Here is a 12,405-nt window from a genome sequence, read left to right on the forward strand (position 1 = left end):
ACCAGAGGTTGTCCACAAGACAGTTCATCAGGAAATTGAGACACATTCTCTTAGCTTTCATTCATCTTGGCATAATATTTTTCACTCATCTATTACGCACACCTTTGAAAGAAAATGGCTTTCACCTGTATAGTTTTTATAGGGTAGAACCATCTAAGACACTTTCTTTCATGTACATTTATCCCATGACTAAAGCTTCTCCAGGAAAGTATTTGTAATGGTTATTTCTTGTAGGTTAATACAAAAATGATGCCCATTGACTGTGCAAAATTTGAAAACTACAGAAAAGTATAAAGAAGAAAATATTCTTTTCACTCCATAATTCAGAAATAATTACAATTAGGAGCTTATGAATTTTCTTTCTTTTCCTTTGCCTTTGTGATATGGAAAATCTACATTTTCCATACCATGGAAATACACTGCATAGATTGCTTTGCTTCTTCTATTAGATGATTTATTTTTGGTTTTAAAAATAATTTTTTACCTTGATTATGTAGAAGACATTAGTAAGAAAAGAAGAAAATTAGAGAATAAACTTGACCAATAAATATTCTCTGTATATACATACATATATATACACACATACACACATGCATACTTATATACATATTTATTATACATGTTACACTATAGTATATTTTATATATAGAGAGAAATATACACATATGAATATAAGTAAATATGTACATTATGTGCAATATATACATATACACATATACACATAAATGTGCATATATGCATACATATCTATATAAATATTATCACTCTATATTTATTCTCTCTCTTCTCATATTTCCCTCTCTATGTATACTCAGGGTCTTGATCTGGAAAAGAAGGATTTTTTTTTACTTTGAAAATATTTGTTGCAATTATTATAACAATACTAATGGTAATTCAGTTCCATGGGGAAAATTATTTATACTATTCAGAAGTAGAATATAAGAGATAACTGAAGAAGAATTCAGATGGATTAAATAAATCAGTAGCAGAGCAACAGAATAATGTACTAACTAACCAAAGACAGTGAAGGTTAGTTGTGTTTTCAGACTGAGGCTATTCCTGCAAGGTAGCACTTTAAATTTACCTCGTAGAAACTTGACACAGAGATGTTGCTGTAAACAAGACCTACTCAGGGGTCACCCCGTGGGGATTCCCCTGTAAAGATGCCCTGAGAATCATGTCCATCCCACAGAAGCATTTGATCAGTGCATCCACCCCCACATGCTTAAACGGTGCGCACGCCCCAGATTTCAAAATAAGCAGAGTTAACATTCTTGACTCCTGGCCCAAATGTGGATGCCCGCCATGAGCTCATGCCTTCCTTTGTGGGCTGGCATTCGCAGGGCTTATGTTATCCTGCTAACTGGACCAGGAAAGAGACACTGAGGGACATGTGCTGGAAACCATGCATACGTAGGACTCTGAGATTTTTGACTGCGCACAAATGTATTATGAATCTTTTTGAGAGTCAAAAGCAAAAATGTGGTCATAAATGTCAGGGAAATGGGTTAATTTGAGATCAGATCCTGGCTCTACCACTATCTGGCTGAATGATTAATGCAGAGTCACCAACTATCTCTTCCTGTGTGAAATGCAGTTAACCTAACTTGGCTATTTCCTAGGGTTTTTAGTAGTTATCTAAATAGGTAATGGACATAAAATATTTAGTAAGTGGCAAGCTGTATAAAAATTCTGGTTTTGAAGATGCAATATAAAGAGGAGAGATCTTTGTTTTATTTATCTTTATTTTCCTAAATCCCGTCTCAACACCAGGCATACCATAGGCATTTAATTAATGTTATTTCATTGAGTGGATGAATTGGGTTTGGGAGTTAGAGCTGGGTCCATTACAGGCCACAGCGGCTGATGGTTATTTCATCGTGTGATTGTAAGTTTGTTTCTTAAGCCGTCTGAGTCTTAGCTTCCTCACACATGAAATGGAGGTAATGACACCACTTGTTCTAGCCATCTACTTCGCATGACAGTTGAGATGTTGCAATGAGATACTGTCTGTGAAAGTGTTCTGTACGATAAACCACGATACAAAGCCTTGTTATTTTTAAGTCATTCTGATTTCTAAGATTTTTTTTCTAAGTAAATGATCTCTAAATTTCTTTTTAACTTTCAGTATGGCTAATTTTCAAAAAGAGAAATTGATAAATGTCTCTCTAGCCCCTCTTTTGTGAGCTGTGTTCCCTAGGTAAACACTATATTTCAAGAAGCTACACCCCCAAAAGAAATCATTTTGCCATAGGCTTTGAAATATACACATTGGGCTTTTGTTTCCTTGTCTCAATTGCATCTCCTTGCCTTCCAGAAATTGTGGCTTTTATGACTTCCTGATGATCAGTACCAAATCAACAAGGCACAAATTTGTGAATCTATGTCTGAAAGAGAGGTTCAGCAACAGCTGTCTTATGGGCTCAAACTAACCAAGGGAAGGTAAATAAGAATGCTTCATTTTATTATCTCCCACCTACACACATGCTTCATGAATACTGTAAACATATTCTTATTGCATCAGTCTTCATCAGGTTACCAGATATTTCAAACCAAAAGCCCAGTAGGCAAACTGATCATTACTAACTTGGGGTCACAGCCATGCCATAGTTATCCTTTTGTCTATGAAGTTGAAGATGATAAAAGGAAAAGAAGATCATTCTTGATTCTACTGGGATCTATTTGAGCATAGGAAATGGATTTTGTTGATCAACTTGTTACCAATGGCCCCTAGCACACTGATGGGGACACAGAGGAGGTCCTAAAAGAATATTCATGTTGAATCCATTAATCAGCTATCAAATCAATGAGTGCTATGTAGTCTTGTGAGAGAATCACACTGAAACCCCACTAGGAATTTAGGTCCCATCACAACATCATTCACTGTAATGTATTTGCAATAAGCAATCAACCAAATGCATTATAATCAGAGACCAGACACACTAAAGGTCAATTTATTTGGAAGACTCAGTATGTATTATGTTTCCTTTTATTCGTTCAAAACCTAGAGTGTGCTATGTATAACAACAGTCAAAGCTATTATTGTGGGTAAAAAATAAATAAATAAATATAAGTCCTCTTACACTGGCTGTTTAGAAGTTCACAGATAAATTCATGGCGCTTTAGCACAAGTATGGAACTTCACATTATACAGTTTGTGAATAAACACTATCTTTGATTTTTGTCTTATTTTACTTACCATTGATGTTTATGCTGAGTATTAATTTCCTCATATACCTACATATGTTTTTGAAATTATTTAGAAATCCATAGTTATGGTAAAAAGCATATATTAATGCCATGTACCATATTAACTGCTTTTAAGTGTACAGTTTCATAGTGGTAAATATATTTACATTCTTTTGCAGCAGATCACGTAAATTTTTCATCTTGCAAAACTGAAACTCTATACTCATTAAGCTACCTCATTACCCTGTCACCCCCACCCCCATAACTTTACATATGTGTGGTTTTTAATGTTATAAGTATTTCACAAGCTAACTCAAATCATTTTAGAACAAAGTGATTTTATGTAGATAGAATAATAGATGAATCATATGTCAATATAGCCTTTAAGAAGTTTATACTCATAAAATCATAGACTCTTGGGGTTGAACAGAATCTTTAATATAATATATAACAGCCTTTCCTCCTGCAGCCCCAATCTAAGGCTTGATAGACATACTTGCTGTTTGCAGCACTACCCCATTTATTTTCCTACAGACACAAGAATAGTGATAAATTCTATTTCATGCATTCTCATCATAAATAAGCATATAATATGTGGTGCATTTATAATTGCATATGCTGAATAGAGAGGGGGTTTTGATTAAATATTGATGATATTAATTTCTCCACTCACATTTTTCATGGTTGGTAAAAAGGGAAAAGCATTCACATACTTCCCATGCCAATTACTGTAGGACATATTCATATTTTGATGTAGTCTCCAGCCATTGTTGAACCAACACACATGGGCAGGAGGTGTGCTCTTGGAAGCCATTCTACACCAGGATGAGTAGCAATAATTTAGCTATACATAAATGTAACTGCAAAACACATTAGTGTATCCTCTCAAACCCAAACTAAAAGTATTCCCTATTCAACTTCCTCTTAGTTGGACCCTAAAAAATCCCACAGCCACTCCATCACAACTCTCTTGAGGTAAAAGGTGATGAAAGGAGTATTGGAGTAGAGATGGATAATAATATTAAAATATTGCAGATACAGTATTTCACATTTGTCTATGTTACAATTTATGACAATGTAAACATATTGCTAAGGTACTTCCCTGGACCTTGGAAGGAACTCTGCAAATCTTGACATTTAAATGTTTTAGGTTCACAGTAAATCTGAAAGAAGGCCTGGGGAAAACCTGTTGGTAGGCGTTAAAAAGAGAGCAATTCCTGATATGATGCACTGAGATGGACACGGCATCACTTTTGTGATATTTCTGCCAAAAGTGCATTCAAACTAAACTAAGGTATTATCTACAAACAACTGGCCTGTGCTTTACAAAAATATCTGTGTTACGAAACACAAAGAAGACTGGGAAACTGTTCCTAATTAAAAGATACTAAAAAAAAAAGGACAACTGAATGCAACATATCATCCAAGATTTTTCCTTGGTGTAAAGGACATTATTAAGACAATTGTCAAATCTGAATAAGCAGCGTAGAATAGATGATATTTTATGGATATAATTTTTTAATTTCAATAATTGAACTGAGATCATGTAAGGTATTTCCTCATTTTAGGAAATACACACTGAGACATTTAGAGTAAAGGTGCAACATATCTGCAACTGACAAATGGTTCAGGGAAAAAAAAATCTGGGGAATGCCAAATAAGGACTTCCTGTGTTTCTTTCTTTATCTCTCACTCACGTGAGCTTTGAGCAAAGGAGGGGTGGGAGTGAGGAGCAGCCCCCACACAGCTGTTCAGGGATGTCTGGAAAAGAAGCCCACCCACATTGCTTCTGGACACTGGGTGTGACTTTGGAGGGTATCAGGTTTGTCTGTTAAAGAAACTGCCAACCTCTTCCTGCCCCAATTGGCCTCTGTTCCCTTGCATGCCCTCTTTCCTTCGGACACTCCCTTAAGGCATCTTCTTGACATTAACTTAACTATAAATGTTTATTTGATGAATTTCAGTGACCTGAAGAGAGATGGAGGTCAAATCAGAAGAAGCACATGGCTAAGGTTGCAATGCACTTGCTTTTTCATTGAATTAAAGTCATTCGAATACCATTCAGTTTACTTAAGTTCTAGGCCCAGCTTTACTCCTAATCGATGTCAGACTGTAGCAAATATTAGGTCCAAAGTTGGAAGAGTTAGCAGGATCCTCCCCATGACAGAACTTTGGCTTCCACTTTACTAAAATAGAGATTGTGTGGTTGAGCTGCAGCTATGTACAGAAAAGTGTCATACAATTAAAAATCACCAAACTCAGTCTCTTCAATTTGAGCAATAGTTGGTGAATTTACTCCACCACCTCCTCTCCTTGAAGGTTCTTTCCTGCTCTCCTCACTATAAATGCAGGATGACCTGGAAAGGCTAGGACCTGAGGTTCAGTTACCCTGACACAAAGGAATTCAGTTTCTCTGATCTCATAGTCACAGGCTGCCAGAGCTCTACGGAACATGCAAGATCATCTGCTTTAAGCCTCTTGTGGTGGCATCTGTTGTTTTCCACTGCCCTGTACCTATTGCTCTTTCCTTGGTTAACAGAACCTTTATTTTCTTCTGAAAACTCTCTGCTCAGTCATGGTAGGGCCATCAGTCCAGATGATCAGGCCTCTCCTGGCCAAACATGGCATCTTTCTTTTGGGAATTTGAATCTTAAGCTGAATAGCTGAAGTTCAAAAAAAGCTGTTGAATCTGACTTACGCCTACAGTGGCTTTGCAAAGTGACTGTCCATTCCTATTTCTTAAGTCCCTGAATTTATAATTTATCCTGGTTACAGCCCTTTCTGAGATGTGTGGTTTTTTTTCCAACTGTCTCTTATAGTCTGTGAATTTTCATATTTCTTTTCATACATTTTCATGTTTTGTTTGTTTGTTTGTTTGTGTGTTTTTTGGCTTTAGGTAGGCAGAATCAGTTTCTGTTGTTTATACCCAAGGAATCCTGATTGATACATCCTTCCCCTTTAAAAATAAAGTATCTAAGGCTCAAAGAGAGTAGGCTACCTGCTTGAGGTCTGGGAGTAAGTTAGTACCAGAGCTCGTACTAACCCCAGGTTAGCCAACTGCTTTACACAACATTTGCTCTCTCCTTCAGAGTTATAGCAGTCTTGGAAGAAAGAAGCTACTATTTTGCCAAAGACCTCAGGAGGACCAAGAACAAGTTCTGGGATATGTGATGATTGAACTCTTAAAAAGTTTGTTGGACTTCTGGCCATAATTGTGTATCTAAGACCAGATTTCATTCTTAATAGCTAAACAAACAAACGAGAGATCCACAGGTTCAGCAGCTATAATAAGAGTGAATTACTGATACAGTTGACAACATGAATATATCTCAGAAACCATGGCATCAATGAGCAAAAAAAATCCAGACACAGAAGAATACGTACCATATGCCTGCATTTATGTGATATTCTAGCATTGTATTGTCCAACATAGTAGCCAGTAGCCTCACATGGCTATTCAAATTTAAGTTGATTAAAATTAAGTAAGAATAAAAATTTAGCTCTTCAGTAGCGTTAGCCACATGTAACTAGTGGCTACCACATCAGACGGTGCAAATATAGAATATTTCCTTTATAACAGAAAGTTCTATTGGAAAACAATGTTCTAGAAAATATACACATAATCTATAAAAACAAAAAGCAAGTCAGTGATTGTCTAAGGCCAGGGGTGAGGGGAGATCGATTGCAAAGTGGTATGAGGAAAGTTTTGGGGTAATAGGGTTGTTGGAATCTTGATTGCGATGAAGGCTACTCGGTGTCTAATGTGTCACCTCCTCAGACTGAACACTTGGAATTGGCGAATTTCATTGTATGTAAATTATACCTCATAAAGTAACTCTAAGAGGTCAAGTGTTTTGTGGAAATTATTTTTAATCAGTTGCAATACTTATTATGAGATGATTTTTGCAAATACATAAACATGTTATTCATCCATTAGGTGCAATATTTTTGCTAGCTCCTGAAAACACAGAGATGAATTAGAATAGCAAGCCTGCCCTCAAGCTGTTCACAATCCAGTACAGGAGATGAGTCTATTCAAAAATAGCTAGACTCCAGGAAGAAAGTTATAGGTGACCTTACACAAAAAAGTGCAGATATAATTATGTAGGACAGTAGAAGTGGGGAAGGTTTCTTTTATGTGGAAAAAAGAGGGAGAATTTTTGGTCTTTGAAGGATGAGCAAGATGTGAATATGCGCAGATGGAGTTTTAAAACATTCCTGGTGGAGGGCAGAATATGATCCAAGGCACAAGAGCAACCAGAAAAATATGCAACCTAGAGGAAAGTGCATGAAGGGGAGCAGTTGTAAAATAATTTTCATGAATGTAAGTGAGAAGAATTTGTATCATAGACACCTGAGTTTGGCAGAGTGCATGTTCTTGGCTCCTAGGAGTCAAGAAGAACAAAGTGTCCCTTTCTCCTACGTTATGCTCAGTGGTCCAAGTCCAAAACACCTTTCCTTCCTTAAGTACTTTCTTCTCCCCTCCATACAAATCTAAAGTCTTCACAAACATCATTTAAACAGGCAGGTCATGGTCAGAAAGGCAATTGCTTTTCCTAGACTTCTATGTACGTTATTATATTACAATTTCTGCCTAAAAGACTCTAAAGTCTTGGAAAAGTTTCCACCTTGCACATCAAAGATATAATTCATGCATTTGTATAGTAACCTTAGTCCCCTAAGAGAATAAGGATGAACTATAAATATAAGAAGCAATTATGGTAATTATAATATGATTGCCACTTATTTTTCACTTGATCGTGTATGGTTGCATGCTACTGGTGTTCTGTTGAATTCTAGAGAGTTTGCCTCTTTTTCCTGGGTCAACTCTCGCCATTTATTTCCATAATGCAATAGGAGCCAATCTTTTTCATAATTACTTATTTAAAATTTGTTGCCATTTAATTTCTGTTCCTCTTAGCTTAGTAACTTTAGGATTTTTAAATAACAACTATTGAAATCATGACATACGTTTAAATGATATTATTTAAATACGTTAGGCTATAAACCTTTTAAATTTTTTAAAAAAATAGATGAGTGTGGTGGCTCATGCCTGTAATCCCAACACTTTGGGAAGCCGGGTCGGGAGGATAGCTTGAGTCCAGCAGTTTGAGACCAGTCAGGGCAACACAGCAAGACCCCATATCTAAAAAAACAAAACAAAACAAAATTACCTGGGTATGGTTGTGCTCACCTGTAGTCCAAGCTACACAGGAAGCTGAGGCAGAAGGATCACTTGAGCCCAGGAGGTTGAGGCTGCAGTGATCCATGAACGCGCTGCTACACTCAGTCTGGGTGACAGTGCAAGAAGCTGTCTCAAAAATAATAAATAAATAAAAATAACTTTTAAAAAACAAAAATTAATTAAATTTTAAAGACACAACACACTAGAGATGTTTGCAAATTGATTATTTGGGAGTCTATATCCCTGGAAGTTAATTTAAAATATTTAGAAGAGTTCTTCCTCATTTCCTAGAGACGTCGAATTGTAAATATCAGAGCTAGAAGGAACACTAGGGCTCGCCACTCCAAAGTGTGGTCCAAGGACCAGCAGCATCAAGTAACCTGGGAACGTGTTAGAAATGCAGAGTCTTAGGCCTCACCCCAGACCTACTGAACCAGAATCTGCATTAACAAGATTTCTAGGTGCCTCACGGGCACATTAAAACTTGAGAAGCTCTGCACTAGAAATCTTCACTCCACCTTTCATTATAAATGGAATCACTTGGCTGTGGTCACAGGAAATTGATTATTTTTAATTTCAGAACCTTCTATTTAGGTCATCTATATTTGCTAATAGCAGGGAAGAAAGCCAAACTCTTTAACTGCAATTAACAAATCTATAATTAATTAGTTAAGCAATCTTCCCTTTAAGTTTTACATTTTGTGGAGCAAGCTGTTTGATTTGGCTGGGGCTCAGGCTGGCCTGTTTGTGAATTTCACAATTCACAGATGTTAGCCGCTCTCGGGCTAAGTAAAGGAAGAGAATGTCAAGTTTTAAATAGCTTCTCCCTTCCATCCTGGCTGAAGCAACAAATAAAATATTTTTATGAAACACATTTTGAGTTAGATTTACTTACAGGGAAATGTCAAATTTCTCTGAAAGGGCTTTAGATTGTCTCACAACTTTGACATCTACTGATGTCACCTATTTACAGGTGTGTCCTGTGACTAGGGGGTGAAGGGAAGATGTGAACTCACCATGTTAGTGACCGTTAGATACACAGAGTGGTTTTTTTTCCCCCTGTTGGAGTCTATCCTAACTGAGCTTCTGAATCATATTTCATTCAATTTCCAAATCCACAAAACCAGGATAAGTTTACAGCCCATATTCAGAAAGGAAATAAATTATTTTGTGTGTAGACTTTCCTGATATTACACTGATTTGGGAATATATGAACAATTTTATGGTTTCCTTTCGAAGTAGGTCAAGTCAAAGCAAAACCAAAAACAGCAAAAACTGTAAGACATAAAGAATAGAGTGGAGCCGACTGAGAGATTAAAATAAACTAGAATATTTTTATTAACAGGCAATTTGAAATAATTTGTGCACTTCAGAATATTCTACAATAATATATTATTTCCAATTTTAATATCTTTAAGAAAATTACTATATTATATGTAAGTACATGTGCATGTGTTTGAGGTAGGATATTTAACTCAATAAAGGTTATTTTCTTTTATTCGGGTCAGGCAAAGCTTCTAAGGGGATGTGAAAGGGATATCTCTTTCTCTTAGCTGAGAGGAAGAGTGAGTTCTAAGTTAAATATAATCAAGGAATTTCCCTGTCTTTGCTATTTGAGATTGTGACCACAACAGGCGGTTGGCTGAAAGGGAAACTGAAGGGCGGGGAGGGAGGGAAATAGATGAAAAAACAAAACAAAACAAAACTTCCCTAAGCAGCTCTACAAAACATTTTAGCCCCAGAAATAGTCACAGAAATCCTCAAATCAAACCAGTATCCAGATACAAGGAAGTGTTATGTAGCTGGAGCAGGGTGGACACTCATCAGCTCAGTTCAGTTACAAAAGTCCAGGCTGCTGAAATTAAACTCTGATGCCATTCATGCCAGCATCCAATCACGACAGAGATCAGAAGTTCAGAGATGCCTCCAGCTCCAAATTGCCAACAACAAGTGTGGCTACTATACGTCAAGGACTCTGAAGCCGTGAGAGAGGGGGAAGAACAACAGTAGAGAGGATGCCCAGCTGGTAAGAATCGAGTGTTTATGAAGTTTTAGTCAATTGATGAATCTCATTGGCTAAAATCAAGAAACGCTCCGCCTCTTTGCAAATATGTATGAAGGAGAGAAGTGCCTAAACTTCTATGTCTGATAGCATTTGACCCTATTGCTTTTAGCCTCCCGGCTTTATATCTATATATACACAGGTATATGTGTATATTTTATATAATTGTTCTCCGTTCGTTGATATCAAAGACAGTTGAAGGAAATGAATTTTGAAACTTCACGGTGTGCCACCCTACAGTACTGCCCTGACCCTTACATCCAGCGGTGAGTTTGAATGTGACATAACTTCTCTCAAAACTTAATTGAAGTGCCTTGTGTATTATGAATGTGTCAGCTGTGTACAAAGAACAATTCCTCCTTGTTTAGTCAGCACAGTGATATTATTTTGGACTTTCTGTGGACTTAAAGTGGTCTGTGGACATATTTTCTGAATGTCTTTTTTGGTTGATATTTGGATCTACAAAGTGAAAAAATTTGAAGCGAATCTTCCCATTTAAAAAAAATTATCACGCCATTTAAGAATGTTTAAAATATATTATTTGCCTTGTTCAGCACCTACTCACTCAATAAGAAATTTCACTGGGCAGGGATATAATAATGTATGGATAATCTTCAAGTCAAAATAAACACCAAATAATTTTGATTTATACATTAAGAAATAGATAACTAGCCATTGTTGTACCAAACAGATTGTGGCTTGTCATTGCATTTTATAAGGAATATTTTTTGGTATGTTTGATAATGAAAATCTTTTGACAAATCTGACTTTTAAAGCTTGTGATTGTAGTAAATTTTATTTAGAAACATTTGCCTAGTACTAAGAGAGAATATTAGTGAGGGTGCACAATTGTGTATGTGCTTCAAATTAGACTTTGCTATTTTTAAACTGGTAAATGAAATCTGAACAGTGTTTTTCCAGTCATAAAGTTATGGGAGATATTCAAGTCATATGTAGCAATGTGATGTTAGTTTAACAGCATGAGATTTCGTACTTTATTTTATAAGACTAATGAGAGAGGTCCTTTGCGTGTTGAAAATGGTGAGGTTACAAAGGGTTAACTTGCCATTTACCACCTGTGTCTGTTGGAGCTTGATACTAGAAGCAGATTCTGCTCTCTCTGGGCAGGACTCACTTACTGTAGACTAGTAGAGTGTGAAAGATTTGTGATCTTCCTTTAACGTGATTTGCTACAACGTAGAACACTAATGTGAGCTATGTAGATTGTTTCTCTTCCTGTGAGGTTTCTGGTGGGTTGTGCGAAAAGGCAGAAGAGAAAGAGCAAGGCAGAAAGATAAATAGAATAAAGGAGATAAAAAGAAAAGGGTGAAAAAAGAGAGAGGGGAAGCAAGTTTGGGGTCTCCAAGGTTTCAGTGGAATTTGTTGGTGGTGGCTTGATTCGTGTCTTGCTGTTTACCACAAACAACAATATTAGCACAAATAAATGGCTCTAGGATTTATGTTCTTGTATAATGTGAAAATTAGATCTAGCTGCAGTTGAGGATTGGGTTGATTAAAAAGAAAAACACCAAAGATTTTCTGGTTCTCAAAATTGTTTCTAATCTCAAAATTATCTATTCCATTAAACATCTTTGGAAATAATAGTTCTAAGAAGATAATTGTGATGAAATAGTAACTGTGTAATGCTACTCTTGAGGGCATCTCTCCTAAACTAGGTACTTGGAACCAGGGAAGCTTTAGAAGAAACTTCCTTCTATTGACTAATAACCCACACTTCAATCCTGCATACATACCTCTCTAGAAGCATTTCTAATGATAAGAGAGGCCTATAAATATAAAGAAATAGAGAAACTACTTTTTATATTACCTTGACGATCTATTAGTTCATGAAGCAAATGTCATCTCAGTTTTTGACATACTGTAATATTCTAAGCAATCATAGTATTTTTGGTTTTTTTTTAACCTTTATTTTAAGTTCAGGGGTACAAGTGCAAGTTTGTTATACAGG

The 12,405-nt window shown here is 36.3% G+C and overlaps 1 protein-coding gene across 6 annotated transcripts in view, besides 4 other annotated features; it reads left to right on the forward strand.

Moving 5' to 3' along the window:
• The window catches only part of TP63 (tumor protein p63), a 300,531-nt gene that overhangs the window by 24,130 nt on the left and 263,996 nt on the right, over window positions 1-12,405 (forward strand). For 5 of the 6 annotated variants that reach the window (NM_003722.5, NM_001114978.2, NM_001329144.2 and 2 more), the window contains exon 1: window positions 10,514-10,702. The exons of the other annotated variant lie outside the window; for it this stretch is intronic. In NM_003722.5, the coding sequence (NP_003713.3) occupies window positions 10,641-10,702 (62 nt within the window). In that variant the 5' untranslated portion in view covers window positions 10,514-10,640. Of the gene's footprint in view, window positions 1-10,513; window positions 10,703-12,405 lie in introns of those variants that run through there. 6 annotated transcript variants of the gene reach the window in all.
• Window positions 9,829-10,638: a promoter, noted in NCBI's record as "-784 to +26 promoter". NCBI's record gives the evidence for it as "EXISTENCE:reporter gene assay evidence [ECO:0000049][PMID:20052674]".
• Window positions 9,957-9,981: a protein binding site, noted in NCBI's record as "NF-kB (I)". NCBI's record gives its function as "positive regulation of promoter activity" and the evidence as "EXISTENCE:protein binding evidence [ECO:0000024][PMID:20052674]".
• Window positions 10,031-10,041: a transcriptional cis regulatory region, noted in NCBI's record as "Sp1 site". NCBI's record gives its function as "contributes to promoter activity" and the evidence as "EXISTENCE:site-directed mutagenesis evidence [ECO:0005528][PMID:20052674]".
• Window positions 10,068-10,093: a protein binding site, noted in NCBI's record as "NF-kB (II)". NCBI's record gives its function as "positive regulation of promoter activity" and the evidence as "EXISTENCE:protein binding evidence [ECO:0000024][PMID:20052674]".

The sequence above is a fragment of the Homo sapiens genome, chromosome 3 (assembly GCF_000001405.40).
Source record: "Homo sapiens chromosome 3, GRCh38.p14 Primary Assembly".
In the NCBI taxonomy this organism is placed as follows: domain Eukaryota; kingdom Metazoa; phylum Chordata; class Mammalia; order Primates; family Hominidae; genus Homo; species Homo sapiens.